Source organism: Homo sapiens, chromosome X, assembly GCF_000001405.40.
Source record: "Homo sapiens chromosome X, GRCh38.p14 Primary Assembly".
NCBI classification, from domain to species: Eukaryota; Metazoa; Chordata; class Mammalia; order Primates; family Hominidae; genus Homo; species Homo sapiens.
Window position 1 is genome coordinate 110,247,704 of NC_000023.11, and position 18,536 is coordinate 110,266,239.

Below are 18,536 nucleotides of genomic sequence, written 5' to 3' on the forward strand. Positions count from 1 at the left end.
ACAAACAAAAACGAAAGAAAGAAACACGTGTGACATGGACAATGTCCCAACCAACCTGGCTATTAATTCATTAATTTCATTATTATTAACAGGCAGTATATGAAAACAAGTTTGAAAGATATTTTCACTGTCAAATTTAAAAATACCTATCCTGATAACAGGTTTCCAATAATACTTGTTTCAGACAAAGAAAAGTTTTTAAATGGTTCAGGAGCAAAATAGAAGATAATGAATGATGCCTATGATTCTAAAGTTTTCACTATTGTTTGCCACAGAATTTTAAAAGAATGCATCATAAAATACTTGTATACTACAGAAAGCACATTCTAAAAATCTTCTTTGCCTTTTAAATACTGAGATCCTCAAATCCCAGCTGTGGTAAGAAAAAGACACAATCTGAGGCTGGCCGTGGTGGCTCACACCTGAAATCCCAGCACTTTTTGAGGCTGAGGTGGGCAGATCACTTGAGCCTAGAGTTTGAGACCAGCCTGGGCAACATGGCGAAACCCTGTCTCTACAAAAATTATAAAAATTTTGCTGGGTATAGTGGTATGCACCTGTAGTACCAGCCACATGGGTGGCTGAGGTGAGAGAATTCCTTGAGCCTGGGAGGTTGAGGCTGCAATGAGCTGTGATTGCACTACTGTACTCCATCTTGGGTGACAGAGCGAGATCCTGTCTCAAAAAAAAAGAAAAGAAAAGAAAAGAAAAGAAAAAAATACAATCTGGAGAATTTTATTGTTTTTTTAAACCTTACTATTGTAAGAAATCTAAGTTCAATAAGATGGACACAGTCCACGACTACATACTTTCAATTCCTTCCTGATACCAGTCACGGATATATTTGTCTGCCACTTATCTAACTGTTTTATGATCATTTGTTCTATCAAAAACTGCTCCTAAGGAACTTCAAATTGCAAAAATTAAAACTAAGACAATATATTTGGTCTTAATTACTTAGAAACTTGGAATTTGTTTCCTTAATTATAATTTCTAAGGAACTGTCTCACTTCTTAACTCCTAAATGTCTACCTTTTGGCCAGTTGAAGAGAATAGCTGAGTCAGGACTTTTATTCACAGTTCCTTTATGGTGAATCCTTCCCCCGAGGCTCTCTAGTCAGCAGTGGATTTCAGAGAGTTGTGTCTGGCTAGAATCTAAGGGCTAAACTAGTATTCCATGTAAATGTACTGATATTAAGTGCAAATGTTGTACAGAAAGAGATCAATCACTTCTTGGCCTTTTGGCTAAGATCAAATGTAGAAAGAAATCAGTTTGGGGAGTATGTATCCCTGAGAAGGTGGTAAATTCTGATGGGACTATGGAAGTTCAGAATACCAAACTGAACTGGGAGGATAGCTGTGAAGAAAAAAGTCATATTAAGGGAGACAGTGCCTCAAGATTCTAAAAGGAAAGAGAACCCAAGAGAAGTTGAGACTGGAATTAATGGACTAGGGGTATAAGGGAGATTTTGGAAAACTGAGTTAAGAAACTGAGTTCCCAAATGAAGAGAAAGGTTATTCAGTGATTTTTTTTTTTTCTGTAAGTGGACACCAGGGAATACCTGTTGAGTCAGTGAAACAAATGTCCATAAGAAGCTTTCACCAGGGAAGGGGGAGTGATATTACTGGAAGGAAGCAGTATCGCACAGTGGTTGGGAGCACAGGCTTTGGAATTAGATAGAATCAGGTTATTATTAGCTGTCATTCAGCAAATTACTTAACCATCTAAGACCTTGTTTTCCCTAACTGCAATATAAGTGAAATACTTTCACCTTCATAAGGTTGTTGGAAATATTAGATGAGGTAACTTATATAAAATACCTACGAGAGTTCCAGCACACACACACAAAACAGAAGTTACAAGTATGATTGGGACACATAACAAGCAGAGATATGTTTAAAGAAAAGGGAAATCTGGCTGGGTGCGGTGGCTCACACCTGTAATCCCAGCACTTTGGGAGGCCAAGGTGGGCAGATCACGAGGTCAAGAGATCGAGACTATCCTGGCCAACATTGTGAAACCCCGTCTCCACTGAAAATACAAAAATTAGCTGGGCATGGTGGCGCATGCCTGCAGTCCCAGCTACTTGGGAGGCTGAGGCGGAAGAATCGCTTGAACCTGGGAGGCAGAGGTTGCAGTGAGCTGAGATCATGCCACTGCACTCCAGCCTGGTGACAGAGCGAGACTCGGAAAGAAAGGAAAGGAAAGGGGAAAGGGGAGAGGGAAACGGAAAGGGAAAGGAAAGGAAAGGGGAAATCTAAGGTTTTGCTTTGAGATTCTCTAACTCTGATATTGTTACTCCTGCAGTTGAATAGTTCTAAGGGTATTGTTCATTTTATGGAAGTATGCCTAAACTTGACACAAGGCAGATAACTCAAGAATAAATCTTTACATTACAAAATGATCATTTCATTACAGGGTTCCTTGAAATTGTATGCTTCTTAACTAAAATTAACAAATTCATATACTTTTATGGGTACTTTTTCATTTTTTAAGCATCAAGTCACATATAATATGGGTACTTTCTATTCTGGAATTTGTAATGATAGTCCAAGGCAATGTCAGGAGACCTGTGTTCTAACTCTAGTTCCAACTCTGTGACATTGTTGGGATCACTAAAAGATCTAGCACCAGGTCTATCTTGGAATCTCTGGGCTCTAGGGTTCAGCCAACTCCAGAAGTCTAAGGTAGACTGTGAGAGATATTGTGGCAGCAGTAGCTTCAAAGGTTTCAACAATAAGGGAAGAGTTAAAATTTGTATGGGTGGGTGGATGAGACTCAATTGTAAAGCTGTGTTATCTTACTACTCCTAAACTCCTAAAGACTCAGATAATTCAGATATTACTCGGAGGGTTAAGTTTAACCACTGCTGGTTAATGCAGCTTTCTATAAAGAATAAAGTGCTAATTGCAGGCAATCTTTGACTTCTAGCACTTCGACTAAAACTATGTGGTAACTGAAGTTATGGGAGTAGAGTTCAGAGGTGTTTGAAATGAAATGGGCTACTTAACTGGAAGTGACTTCCAAGTCTACAGAGATGTTCAGATAGAAGCTAGATGCCCATTACTCAGGAGATTTTTAAGAGAGATTAAAGTATCTGATAGGGGTTGGACTAGATGACTTAAAAGAATCTCTTCTAGGTCTATGGTTCCATGGCAGGAATCAATTCACATAGTGCATCTTCAGTCACTTATAATGAGATCAACCTCATGTCAATTTGTTTTCTAAAGTGTTCTGTATAAAGATCCCTGTCCTCTGGCTCAGTCTAATTCCAAGTGGCCTTAAGCCACCCTTTGCACTATCAATCAACACTGGTAACTCTTACTGGCTCAAGTATGCTGGCAGCAAGAAGAGGTGACAGATATAAGCTAACATATGCAAACAGAAAAGAAAGAGAGTAGAATGGTTATCAGGATCAAGCAAAGTTGCTACAAAGCAATGAGACTGGTTTTTGTTAGTTTGCTTTGATGTTGCTTGGTAAACTACTGTGGAGCGCAATTTCAAAAGGGAGAGACAAACATAAAATTAATAATTATAATCCAGTGTGTTAAGTGTTATAATAGAGGCCTAAAAGAGACTGACCAATTTTCCTGGGGACTGTCAAGGAAATCTCACAGAGGAAGCAATGAGCAAGCTGAGTCTTGAAGGATAAGTAGGAGTTGACTGGGTGGAAATGGGGAGAGGCAAAGAAAAAAATGTGAAGCCAGAGAGACATGAAAGAATATATTTGGGAAGTGGTGAATAATTGTGTGCATGGCTGGAGTGTGAGGTTAGGTCCTCAAGTACTATGCTTCTTAATAAAAATGGGTTTTCCTCTCTGGTGATAAGGAATAACAGGCACTGTTTTAAGGAGAGTGAGATAGATTTTTGTCAACAAAGATAATTCTGGTGATTGGTGTACAATGGCTTCAAAGGGAAGCAGGGAAACCAGTGAGCCAGAATAAGAACCCAGACAAAGGCAGTGGCAGTGAGGCTGAAGAGGATGGGGTGGATTCAAGAGATATCTGTGGGGCAGAACCAACAGGAAATATAGACTGATAGCGTTTTGCTCAATGATCAGTTACATGTATGTGTGTATTTTTTAAAGAATTACATAAACAGAAATGTGATGGTGACTGATTATGGGGTCACTGGTTTATTTACTGATAATGCTTGTTTCTTCTCATATTATGAAAATTCCTGCCTACCTACATGTGTCCAAGAGAAAAAGAAAAACTGAAATTGCTATAAATATATTTAAAATTTCATTTCTTGGCCATTCTCACTACTTAATTTCTTCCTGAAGCAGAAATATAAATATTTACTATGCATGTACTACAATATAAATATTTACTACGTACCTAGTATGTATAAGATACTTCATATACATATATATCCTAATCCTCACAACAAACTTACCAGTTTAGAATTATACCCATTTTACAGATGAGAAAACCAAGACATGGCAGAAATTCAGTAGCTTCCCTTGGGTCACAAAGCTAAGAATTGAGGGATTCACAACTAGAACCCAGATATGGCTACCTCTTTCTACAACCTCATACTGCCTCTGTACTTAAAAAGCAAGTATTAAAATAAAAATAAGTAAAATGAAAAAGCAGCCAGGTATGGTGGCTCACACCTGTAATCCCAACACTTAGGGAAGCAGAGGCTGGAGGATTGTTTGAGCCCAGGAGTTCATGACTAGCCTGGGTAACATAGTGAGACGCTGTTCCCCACAAAAAGAAAAGAGAAAAAAAATCACTATTATAAAAATGACTGCATCATTATAATAGTCTATTTTTGCGAGTATTTAAAAGTGTTCATGATAAAATGAGTTTTAAAAGAGAATTTTAATGTCAAACCACTCACACACACAAAAAATACATTCAATATGCACTCAATGAAAACTATAAGAAACTAGCCACAATAAGACCAAATAATTTCACATCTAGGTAAAGTAGTAAGACAAAGAATTATACTTTATAATCCACAATTTCTAAATGCTGATAAAAACAAGACTTTTATTTATTCAACTAATATTTTCTGAATGCCTACTATGTACCACGTACTGTTGTAGGCTTTGAGGAATATTACAGCAGTCCTTGCCCTCATGGAATTTACATTCGCATTAAGAAAGACTCACAAATATACAAGTAAATTTACAGTATGCCAGGTGGTGATAAGTGCTACGGAGAAAAATGAAGCAGGGTAAACGGGCAGGGAGAGCCAGATATCAAATGTAGGCCTTGCTATTTTACATACGTGTCAATGATAATGGCATCATTTGAATAGAGACCTGAAGGGCGTGAGGAAGCCAAGCTACATGTCTATCTAGTAGAAGACTGTTGCAAGTAAAGAAAATTCAAGTGCAAAGCCCCTGGCGGGGACCATGCTTGGTGTGTTCAAAGGGAAACAAGGAAACCAGCCTAGCTAAGGCCAAGAGAATGAATGGAGGTGGGAAGAGGGGAGTAGGAGATGAGGTGAGAGGGGCAAGCTGAGCATGGTGGCATTCATTGCAGAACATTAACTTTACTCTGAGTGAAATATATGTTTTTTAAATACTTTGGCTTTTACTCTAGGTGAGAAAGGTAGACACAGGAAAGCTTCTTATCTCAGATATAAGGATTGACACCAACTAAGGAGAGTTCAGTCATGCCAATGGGCGTTGTTTGTGCCATTTTGGCTAATGGGGTAAATGTGCTGCTCTGGGCAATAATAAAGCCTATGAAGAGGAAGCTGCAACAGTATGAGAGGGTACATATTTTTAGACAATAGCTACCACACCTTAGTGAGCTGATCTGTGAGGCACAGGAACATCTCAATACACAATAGATGACAACTTTAAAATGTAGGCTTTTAAAAAAATATGTGCTTTTAAAAAGAACAATTACATTTTATAACATGTATTTACAAACCCATGAATTTAACATAGTCATCCTTTTACCACTGAAATATTTAAGAGTTGCTTCAGCTGAAATCCAGTATCATCTGAGATGACTCCTATTCCTAGCCACTACTCTTTATTAGAGGCAGAAAGAAATCTCCCCTTTTGGCCATACCATTTTCAGGCCTGCTGAAGTCCAACCTGTGTTGTCAGTTCTACTGCCACTCCAAAGACCTTTTCTCTAATGTCACATTGACACTCTTCAAAGAGTTTGTGAAGAAAAATTAACATCTAAAAATATTCTTTTTTCTTTTAGATTCAAAGCAATTATTATTATAATTAGTATCAACTGTTCATGAGATAGCTAAGTTTTGGGTAGTCTCTTTTCTTCCCTAAAACTTTATTTCAAAGTTATTCACCTCACCGTTAATAAGGTGTATGATTAATGCTCTGTGCCAGTATTACCAGGCCTGCCCATTGCCAGCAATGGTCTTTGAGATAACCCATTTCCTAGCACCCAAAAGTTAAATTACTCTTTTCAAAACATACCGACCTCCCCAACACTTGCAAAAGTATTACATGCGCCATTTTGTCACCATTCTTTAAATCAGAACTTACAATATTAGTCTACATCGGTACATGTTAAAATGAAGTCATTTTAATGAATTATGACTGTACAAATCCAAATACTACTAGTTAGTATTAGACCAGAGTATCTTACAAACATATTACATATTACCTTGCAATCTGAAACATTACATTTCATATTTTTGCATGTTTATTTTAAATAACTGAAATTTCACAGAATTTAACAGCAAATAAAATTTAAAAATTTTCATTATGTACATTAGTTTCAACTATATTTTACAATCTATAAGGCTCATGTCATAGTTCATCACCAAAAAGATCTACAAAACTTCTTATCCATTCTGTGTGATAGTTTTTGTTTAGTGATGTTGTTTTTTAAGGTGAAAGTTTGAGAAAATGCTACTCTCAGATCTTGAAGTGGAATACTTCTAGTCAGACTATGTAAAAACCTGGGTTGTACCTTATTTTCATTGAACAGATACAAAAAAAAAGAAAGAAAAAAGAAAAGAACTGTGTTATACCATGAATTTAGGTTGACAGTCTATATGTTGAACTTACAACACTGAAGCATCAGAAGTAAACTTCCCTTCCATTTAAAATTTTTTAAAAGGGAATTAGAAAAATGTTTCATTTATTCTTTAAAATAAGGTGCAAAAAAGGACTGCAACAACAAACTTCCTCATCCACACCTCCAATAACATCTCAATGTTGTTAAGCATAATCTACTGTGAACTGATTTAGGAGCACACCTGGAGCTATATTCACAACTCCCAAATGTACCATGTTTTCTATACCAGAGGCCTGCTCAATGGCAGTGTCTGTCTGTTCAGAGGTCATTACAATAACTTTTGTCACTGCTGGCCTGGACTTAAAGCAACATTCCAGATTCCAGAACCAGTGTTTTATTGTCCCAACTCTTTTCTTCCTCTTCGGGATTTGTCAATTTTAGAAAAAGGGCATGTCTGTCTTGCTACTTTCAAAGGGTTTGTGTATATCACATTTTAAGACCACATTGTTTTGGGTACTTTTAATGTAGCACGTTTCATATGCTGAAATGATGCTAAAACTTGGGTTTGGTACTGATTCGCCCACGTGCTCTGTCTGAGCCCCACTGTAATCAACGCCTGGGATCTAGTGGTAGCTATTGTCTAAAAATATGGTCCAAATAGGGATTGAACCCATGATCTCATTAGCAGTACAAGTCTAACCAGCAGTGTACAGTTGTTTACTGTTCTTCATATGCAACACAGCTCCACTCATTTCAAAGGCTTAAAATACTTCTCCAGGCTTAGCTAGGAGGCAAGTAATGGTCATCTTAGAAGAATGGTTTAGGTTAAAAGCAGCCTGCAGAACTTAAGAGATTCTCTTTCCTGCCATCCTCAGTGAAGTGACTGCAGTTGGAACCTTTTAAATCAGCTTTGTAGAACATACAAAGTAGTCCTGAAGGTAGTTGGGTATAGCAACAAGAAGTTGAGTTCTGGGCAATCCCTTTAATTAAAGCTTCTGAAGAATTTATTTTATGGCCTTTTCTAACTTTCTCTTTCACTACTAGGAAGGATACAAAAGTTAGCATTTCCATGTAGAAATAAAAAAAACAGAGTGTTAAAAATGGAGACAATAACATGCTAATCTAATCTGAATAAGTCTATAGTTTCCATATGTAGATTTACAGGATAATTTTTTGAGCTGAAGTAAAATTAACAAAAATGAGTTTTCTGAACATCACACCAAGTGTAAATCTGTACCTTATGAATCCAAATGTATTTTCTTCACTTTCAGATTTTAAATATACTGAAAAGTACACTGCATATTTGATATTAACAATAATTAGAGCTTCATTCTCAAAAGAATGTATTAAATACAGTCAGGTATTGCTTAATGGTGGGGATTCATTCTGAGAAATGCATCATTAAACAATTTCATTGTTGTGTGAACGTCATAGAGTGTATTTACACAAACATAGATGGTATAGTCTACAACGTACCTAGGCTATATGATATAGCCTATTGCTCCTAGGCTACAAAGCTGTACAGCATGTTACTATACTGCATAATGTAGGCAACTGTAACACAATCGTTAAGTATTTGTGCATCTAAACATAGAAATGATAGAGTAAAATTAAAGTATTATAATCTTATGGGACCACTGTTGTATATGCAGTCCACTGTTGACCAAAACGTCATTATGCGGTACATGACTATATTGTTTTCCATCTTTAGAATTTCCTAGCATCTATGATATTCTATTCCAATAGAAAATTTTTTAAATGTTACAATTTGTCCATGTCTATTTTGTTATATAAATATAGATATATTTATTTCTTTTGTTAACAAGAAGTAGATCAGATAATGTAGTTCTTTAGGACAGGACTTTTATGTTGAAAGTTTGCTCTTTATTTAAAAATTGAGAGAGAATGTAAGAAAAACTAGAGTTGTTTCTAAGAAAAATATATTTATGATGCAAGATAAAGGACTTACGATGCAATAAGTGTTTAGCATTTAAAGATCAACAAATTGTTATCAATGATGAAAAGTAAGTTTTTTCCAAGGACTACTACTTTGGATAACCACATTTAAGGCAGTTTGAAGTTTGAGAGAATGGGAAAGATCACAGAGAAGGGCTTCATTTCTTTTGCCTTCTACTTTTAAAAAGTATTTCTCATGCTCATAAGATCATAACTAAAATTTTAATATTCAATTGCTACACCAAAACCTCAACTTTCAATTATTTTAAAGTACTCAAATTCCTAACATTGTCCCCTTAAAAGTGGTAAAAGCATAGGATTTGCATGATAATCACCTTTAGTTACATCAAAGCATAACCATCTTATTCTTCCAGAACACTAAGATACAAATCTGTCCTCCTGTTCATTCAGGTCCTAATGACTCAAATACTTTAGACACTTATAAGTAAGCCCAACATTTATTATGTAAATATTCAGACAAAAGAAATATATTTTTAATGTCTATAGTATAATTTTAGGCCACATCCAATGTAATAATTTCATACAATATTTGTGTTCTAACTTAGCTTTACCATTTCAGTCATTCATCTGAAAAAATGAAGACTATCGCAGACAATGACTCTCAGGAAAGGAGACAGATATCAGTTTACTGTACTAAAACAAAATATGAATTCACTTTAACAAGACAAGAGGAAAGTGAAATCTAAACTATAACTTTTAATTTTCTTCATTTGCCAAGCATCAGAGCTATAATCCAACTTGGTTCTAGCTAATGTTTGGTAAACTCCCTGTGTATGTGTGCATGTGCATGCACACTCTTAAGAGTCCTCTATTTCAAAGGCTTTTTCTTCTATGACAAGATCATTTTCCCCTTTAAAATATGTATTACAAATTTCTTAAAATATAAATACCCAACACCTTGTATATGGTTGCTTTGATAATAATGATTTACACGCATCCCTATAATTTTGACCTTTTTGGACCATGTAGGATAAAAACAAGCCAGAAAGTGGTACATACTGTTTTGCTTTTATAAAAAGTGAACTAGGGATGAACCAAATAAAATAATTTATAGATACCTTTAAATACATTTTAGCTTTTATAACAGATATAGAGTAGTAATCATCCAGTATCACGTCCTCTGCTTCTTGAGAAAAACTGCTTTCTACCTAGGACTACAATTATTTCGATAACTTCTTATCTCTCCTAATATATCATAAACTCCTAAGGCAAAATTAAGACAAGATTTGCAGGATGAACTGTTTAAACATGATTAAAAGGGGAAACAGCCTCGAAGGACCAGAGAGGTATTAAACTTTACAGATAGATGTAAAAATAGGGTAAATTTCTTATAGTTCACTCTCTCCCTATCAAACTTAAGAACCAAGAGCCCTGGTGCTGAAAAAGCCCATTTTCAGCTTCTCTCAACACTACCTTTTCACAGATGGCCTTTTCTGCCCCAGGCATTTTGCCTGTGGCTCTTAATCAAAGCAGCAGGGAGATTCCAACTGGAAACTCTAAAGATCTAAATGATGTGATAAGGAATTAGAATCTGATATACTCACTACACTTAATTTCTGTGGCAGTAGGTGCTATATGAATTCAGACAATTCTCTACAATTCAGGAGCCATTACCCATTCTGCAAATGGTTCCTGCTGCTTAGTTTCCACATTCTGCTGGGAATTTTGTGGCTACATCTCTGCACATTAGCACAACCTTGGGATAACGAAGGAGTGCATTAACCTCATGGCTAAAATGAGGATTCCAGTTTGAGCAGATAGTTCACCATGCTTCATGTGGATAATTTTGAGTAAAGAGCGTACAACAACCTAGGTTCCAAACTGTACCTTAAATTAAGTGCCTATAAAATCTGACAAATGTTTCTCATTTTGTAATTAATAAACTGAAACTATCAAATTAGGTATAAGTTTTAGGACTCAGGCCATCATCTCTTTTATAAAAAGGCAAAAAATGTAGGTTGTAAATTAAACTAATTAATTTTGCATTGTTTGTGATACATCTAATTTATTTCCCCAAAATGCATACTTTAGCCAGAAGTCTTGCCACAACCACTTGCCAAAAATTGTTTGGCCTTAACATCTCCAGAATGAGCTTCCATAACAATAATGTACAGTCAGAGGTGATTCATACAGCTTTTCTTTTCATAAGAAAAATCAATCTGGGTGATGCTACCATAAAGACTAATATTAAATGAGAGGGAGGAGGAACTTGTTTAATCTAAGTGTTCACAATGAGCCTAGAGTGGTTACCCAAATAATCAAGAATAAAAATGATCACACGATGGTCTACTATGACAGGGAAAATATTATGCTGCTTATAATGGCTTTAAACTCATACTGCTTTAGAAAAATGCCAGATTACAACACCAAAATATAAAAGCAAATTCAGTTTACAATGAATCCCATAAGTACCCAATCTAGCTAGGACCTTTGAAAGTAATAAAGTAGGTTTGTTAGCTATTTTCAGTATCTCAAAAAATCTAATGGAAAGTGAATATTTGTACCATGCAAGCAATCAATCCCCCCTCAAACTCCCCTGACACACAACCCCACTAACCCACACAGAACAAAATAAAACTCCAAAACAAAACACAGCACATCACCTTTTATGTGGTCATACTGTTCCCTAGAAAGGGCTAAACTTTCATTGCTAATTTCTTAGAATTAAGTAGTTCAACAAAAGTGGCATAGTTCACAATCAAGTTCTAGAACTGCCAGCACCTGCATAATTATTTCACTGCCGAGAGGTCTAAGTACAACAAAGGAGAAAAAAAGATAGTCTTTTAAGTGTGGTGACAGACCACAATCCTGTTTTGCTGAATAAGAATACATCTATTAATTACTTAATGTGTTCTAGAAAAATTACTGCCAACTTGAATTTACATAAAGAAATAGATCTGCATTTTGCTGGGAAATTTATTAGCCAAAATTTTAAGGAAACTTTCTTTTTCTTTTTTTTTTTTTTTTAAGAGATGGAGTCTCGCTCTGTCACCCAGGCTGGAGTGCAGTGGCGCAATCTTGGCTCACTGCAAGCTCTGCCTCCCGGGTTCATGCCATTCTCCTGCCTCAGCCTCCCGAGTAGCTGGGACTACAGGCACCCGCCACCACGCCCGGCTAATTTTTTGTATTTTTAGTAGAGACGGAGTTTCACCGTGTTAGCCAGGATGGTCTCGATCTCCTGACCTCGTGATCCGCTGGCCTGGGATTACTGGGATTACAGGCGTGAGCCACCGCGCCCGGCCAGGAATCTTTTTTGACTGAGATGTTTATATTCATCTATATTAGTGGTAATTTTCCTCTCTATAAAAGTATGTTTTCTAAGTACTAAAATTGGGGAAATGAATCTGCCTCTGCTTTCTAATATATAAAAGCCATAAACACAATACTGGAAATTATCTCCTTCAGCTCGGACAAAGAATATTTCTACTTTGAAGTCTTGAGCAATGATAAATAGGGTAATTTGTGGACTTTATCACCAAATTCTATGGATAGACTTTTATCAATAATTCTGAGCTCTCCATCCTGCTTCGTATTTTCTATAATCTTTCCTGCTTTTACCCAGATCCTTCAAGGTCAGACAAAGAATAGTCTATTTATAATAGTTCCATGTACTTCTCATAAACTTTTCATTACCTACACAAATACTATGTATTTTCACAATTGAGAAGAAATCCTCAGCCTCTTTATAAGATTTTATTTCAATCTAAAATCAAAATTTCAATTAGGAGAACATATGACTTGACTTTGACAAGTACTTTACATTTAAAAGATTATGTTTATATATATATTTAAAAAACTTAATTCAGGATAGGCATTTCATTTAAAAAATACCCGGTCATATTTGAACATACAACTTGACTATGACAAGTACTTTAATTCTAAAAGTTTAAATAATTTTATTAAAATTAAAAGTTTATAATTTTATTTATAAATAAAAACTTAATTCAGGATAGGCATTTCATTTTAAAAAATATCTGGTCATATTTTTAAGAAAGGTTTTAGAGTTAAGGGACTACACACAAGCTAGATCATTGTCTTCTATAAACTGGTTCACTTTTAAGAGGAAAAAGGGTACTCAAACAGATATTTTGTGCACCTATGTTCATCGCAGCATTATTCACAACAGCCAAAAGGTAGAAGCCACCCACCCAAACGTCCACCAATGGATGAAAGGATAAACAGAATGTGGTATATACATACAATGGAATATATTCTGCCTTAAAAAGAAGGTAAATTGACACACGCTACCACATGGATGAACCTTGAAGACATTATGCTAAGTGAAATAAGCTAGTCACAAAATGACAAATATCATATGATTCCACTGATACGAGGTACCTAGAGTAGTCAAATTCATAGCAACGCAAAGTAGAATGGTGGTTGCCAGGGCCTGGAGGAGGAAGAATGTGGAGTTCATGTTTAATGGGTAGAGTTTCAGTTGGGGAAGATGAAAAACGTTCTGGAGATGGATGGTGGTGATGACTGTACAACAACATGATTGCGCTTAAGGCCACAGGACTATACATTTAAAAATGGTTAAAATGGTAAATTTTATGTTACATATATTTCCCCACAATAAAAAAAAAGAAGAGATATAATTGAGTAACATTCTGAAAATCAAACAATAGTCTATCTAATCACAGATGAACCGGATATTTGAATTTTTAAAAAGATGCCTATACCTAGAATGCCTTTAATTTCACTGCTTATTTTTTGTTTTGTTTTATTTTGTTTTTTGTTTTGCTTTCTCCCTCCTTTATGCCCCTATCCCCTAAGTTCATTTAATTCTATTTATTCATTTTGTGAGTTATGGGTTTTTAAGGTGGGATGACCAGAAGCCAAGAATCACCAATTTTTATGTTCAAAAAAAATTGTATTCTTAAAGTCTAGTCCATGTAGCCAAAGAATACAATTTCCTATCCTACAGTAGTATTGTTTTGTAATAAGCTTTATCCTTAATACAATATTAGTTCAAGTCAATTTTCTTCTGTCTGCTCTATACAACTCTGAGTTGTATACTTTCCATAATAATATCTATGGATTTTCCTGTTGCAAAATTTCAGTCTTAACTCCTAACTAGAATTTTTGAAGGATTACTGATCTATGATTTATAAAATTTATAGTAACTTGCTTTCAAGTTCATTATTTTCATGACAAAGCTGCAAAACATAAATAATCAGAAAATTTTGCCTCGGTTAGGGGATGGATTTTGTAGACACATGCTCTGGGTTTGAATCCTGGTTCTATCACTTAATAGATGTGTGAGTGGGTAAATTATTTAAATTACCTAATTCTCAGTTTCCTCATTTTGAAAATGTAGATATTAGTACCTAAGGGTTATTACAAGGACTATGCATGTAAAGCTCCTCAACAATGTCTGACATAGTAAATTCTTAATAAATGGCAGCCATTAACAAAAATAATCATAATAACATAATACGTAAAAATGATAAGCACACTACTGAACAGAAAAATATTATATTCCAACTTTTAAAAATGACTCCTTACAACTTTTGATGCTAAAATGAATCCAGGAAAAAAGATTAATTGTATTTTGTAAGACTTGTTTTCTTTTGTTCATCTTTTCCAAATAGTATGATTGTTAATATCTTGTTATACAAAAGAAATTAAGCCAAACAAAAATGAGAAGTAAAACCAGGTATGTGCATGTGTGTATACACACACAAACATATGTATACACACGCACACACACACGCCTCTTTAATGTGATATATACAATTTGAGGAAGCTGTATAGAAACATGAGAAAAAAGATGAAAAGTAAACAGGAAGAGCTATAGATTGCAATGAGGGTAACAAGGTATACAAATGTAGGCAAATTTCCAACTTCAAGTATTTGAACAATTCATTCAGAATCACATTATTGTCAGAAAATTATACTGTAATTCTTCTGGTCATTACCCTAGGATATAAATGGACAAGTCCAGAAAAGTTGGATGTTTTCACCCCTTGCCAACATTGGCAAAAGAATTTATTTTTTTCTTTAAACAAAACCCAATTGCTACCACAATGACCACTACGAAAGATTTCTAAGGTATATAATGTTTGATAATGGGATTTCTGCTACAATTTCACTAGAAAGCACAAAGGGTTTCTATAATACCAACTCTTACTACCCAAATATAAAGTAATATTCTGTTTTGAAAACAGACTTGTGTTTCCAAAAATGTTTTCCTTGGAACACTCAGACTTTGGGGTGGGAGGATAAAAGGGTCCTGTAGTCAAATAAGCCTGGAAAATGCTACATTCTATTTCTCTCTCTTAGATATACATAACACTATTAACATAAAAGGTTCTGAGAAGTCCTACAGTGAGCAGAGTTGTTTACATTTTTTAACCAGTGTTTCCCAAACTTATTTGGTCACAGAATTCTTTTCTTCAGGTAGCGCAAAGGAACCAGTGTTCCTCATAACAACTTATTTTGGGAAATGTACAATAAATTGCCATTGATTAGTATTAAATGTGTAATTTAATATGTACCTGTCCCAAAAAGGTAGCCATTGGCAGAATTTGCTGAAGTCCCAAAAATGAGCCCATTGTATTTTATGTCAGAAAAAAAAAATCTAACATGCCTAGACTAGTACTTATATTATCTTTAACAAGTTGAATTTATTTCCAGAATATGTGTTTCAACCCTTACAGCCTGTATGTTATTTAATCAAATCCAAACACCCAGTTTCTTATACCTGTGAAAAGCTAAAAAATGAATATGATCCCCCAAGCCATTGGTTTTTTTTCTGGGCTTCACTGTAAGCTGAGAAAACCCTGCAGCTGTGAGCTACTGCATACCTTCAAATATGAGAATACCAAACTCAGTTACAGTATTTTATTAACTGGTGCTATGAGCCTGCATTTATGCAGTTCTACAGTAAAATAATGTTCCACATTAATCCTGAAGTAAAATAGTGATTATTACTTCATTCTCCTAACACCTCTATTAAGTATATAGAACAAAATACTGTAATTACTATTTTACCTATGGAGGTTGAGAAACATGCCCCAAGTACCAATAGTCAGCAGGGAGCAATTTCTTGTTGGACAGACACTGTGCATATTACAACTATAGAAACTGTATCAGATAATCACCCTAAAATGTGAACAAAAACAGGAAATTCCTTTACTAATAGCTTATTATTTAAGGAATTTTCTTCTTTTGAAATAATTTTGGGTCACAATTTGCTTGAAATCTAAACTTGAACCAAAAAATTCACATTGTGTGCTAGATAGCTTTTTGTGAATTCAGAAATTAAGAACAAAGTTTTAAACAACTGTAATGAGGAATTACTTTGTCCTTTTATTAGATAAAAGAAAATAAGCAAGCTACAATTAATTCTGGGTGAAGTGTGAATGTGAATGATTATACTGCTAGGCTGTGGCATCACTTTCTTCCTAGGCTCTCCTTTCAATTTCAAAAGTCCTTAAAAGTGTAACAAAATGTGTAAGATGAAAGAGACAACAACTATTTTTAAAAAACACAAGAGGGAAGAAATAATGACTGTTACTATAGAAATCACATATTTTGGTAACCCGTGGACATTTGGTCATTGGTTTTCAAGTTATACAAAATAAGCTGGCCACTGGAAGAAAAAAAAAACACTTCAAAACATCGATGGCAGAATACATTAATCACAGTATTTTATATTATGGTAATATATATCAATAACATTTTACCAGAGAAAAGGTAAATGGTTAAAGACAAAGGAAAAACCTGACATGAAGGAAGACAAGAACGTTGACAATTCAGTAAAAGGAGTTAAAGTATCAGATTCAAGTTTCATAAGTTTTTTTTTTTAATGTAAAAGCAGAGGTAACAAAAATTGGTCTTCACCTGGTAAGTGTGTACTCCCTGAGTCCTGAATGCAAATTCATGGCAGAAAAAGTACCTATGCATCCACGTAATCTTTTGTCTCGACCAATCTTCCATGTTACAAACAGTGGGCTGTAATGGAAGATAAAAATAGGGTAAATAAATCAATTCAATTCAAGCAAGTATTTATTGAGTATTGACTGTCTGCTAGGTTAGGTGCCTGAGATATAAAGACCAAAAGACAGGCCTTCAAGGGGCTCACAGGCCAGCCCAATAGGACTACATTTAGCAAAAGTTATATTATACTACTACTACATTATATTGAGTGTATCCTATATGTTTGCTATCTCAATAAATGTTTTAAACAAACTAATTATGTTAGTCTTCATCAACAATTCTAGGAGGCTGATACTAACATTCCTATTTACAGATGAGGGAGTCTCACAGTTGATACATAATGAAGCAGGCACTCAAACCTGGGCAATCTTAACTATAGAGCCTTAACCATTATGGCTAACTGTGTAATTACTCATTTAAACCTCAAATTACTGACTTATTTGTAAGTCTAATTTGGAAAATCCGGGATAAAAACCAATGGTTTTCATAAATACTTCCTGAAAATATAGGGGATATGTACTGTGAAAGGTGCTACAAGGATGCCTAAAACACAGTCATTGCTCTCTAGGAGCCAGTATAAGAGGCAGGCATAACTATTACACAGCTAACTAATACAAGGAAAAAGGAAATAGATACTATAAACCATGTCCAAATGCCATAATTTAAGCTATTGAGATAGAAGAAAACTTCATCAAGCTTGACATTCTTTAGCTTGATCTAGAAAAATCAGTAGGGTTCAGAGAGGTGAAGGGCAACAGCAGACATTAACAAAATAATACTCTGAAACCAGAAAATTCATCTTAATTTTTAGATAAAAGTATTACCTGCAAATACAATCTCTCAAGCATCAAAGAACAAAGTATCAATTATAACAAAATATCATCAAGAATAACGTGGTTTTAGATGAAGTTTAATACAGTAGATGCTTGGATTCTGCTGCAAACTACTGACAGCCTCAATTAATGGTTAAGTCTAAAAACAATTACGTTCTAATTAGAGCAACTTTGTATGCCAGTTTTTATGAAATAATTTACCCATTTTAGGACATTTTATAAAAAGATAAGTACCTTACAATGGGGATGGTCTATGGTAATATAAGTATTCACAGTAATACTGGAATAATGCATTTCTGCTTTCTAAAAACTTAAATTTTAAGGGGATATACCATATGTTTTTTTCCTCTAATACACTGGTGAGTTGGAGAACATCCTTTCTTCAAAATACTCTTTAGTGAGTCATCAGCAGATAGATGAAAAGATATCTCATTCAAGTACTTCAATCACCCTCCTTAAACATTTAAATTATGCTGAGCTCTGACAGCCACAATGGCAGATAGGTTCCCAAATAAGTAATATATACAAACCAGGGAGAAGTACTAAGAGTTACCATCTTCCAAGAGCCAAATGTCCAGTGGCATTCAAAAAGATGACTTAAGTGTAAGGTCAAGTTACTGTCAACATTAGCATTCAAGTGAAGGATGACCTACACTAAAGGTATTAAAATAACAAACAAAAGGTAAAAGCCAGTTTTTTTTTTTTTTTGCTTTCTATATCATATGCAATAAACCTGTTATAACTTGAGCCAAGATTCTAATGCTCCATTTGGGAATTTTTCTCCAATTGTTCTTGACTAACCACTGATCAGGAAGACAAGAA

The 18,536-nt window shown here is 34.9% G+C and overlaps 1 protein-coding gene across 3 annotated transcripts in view; it reads right to left on the minus strand.

Annotated features, from left to right (window-relative positions):
• Positions 1–18,536, minus strand: part of AMMECR1 (AMMECR nuclear protein 1) — a 246,048-nt gene that overhangs the window by 53,518 nt on the left and 173,994 nt on the right. For 2 of the 3 annotated variants that reach the window (NM_001171689.2, NM_015365.3), the window contains one exon: positions 16,786–16,896. The exons of the other annotated variant lie outside the window; for it this stretch is intronic. In NM_001171689.2, the coding sequence (NP_001165160.1) occupies positions 16,786–16,896 (111 nt within the window). The remainder of the gene's footprint in view (positions 1–16,785; positions 16,897–18,536) is intronic. 3 annotated transcript variants of the gene reach the window in all.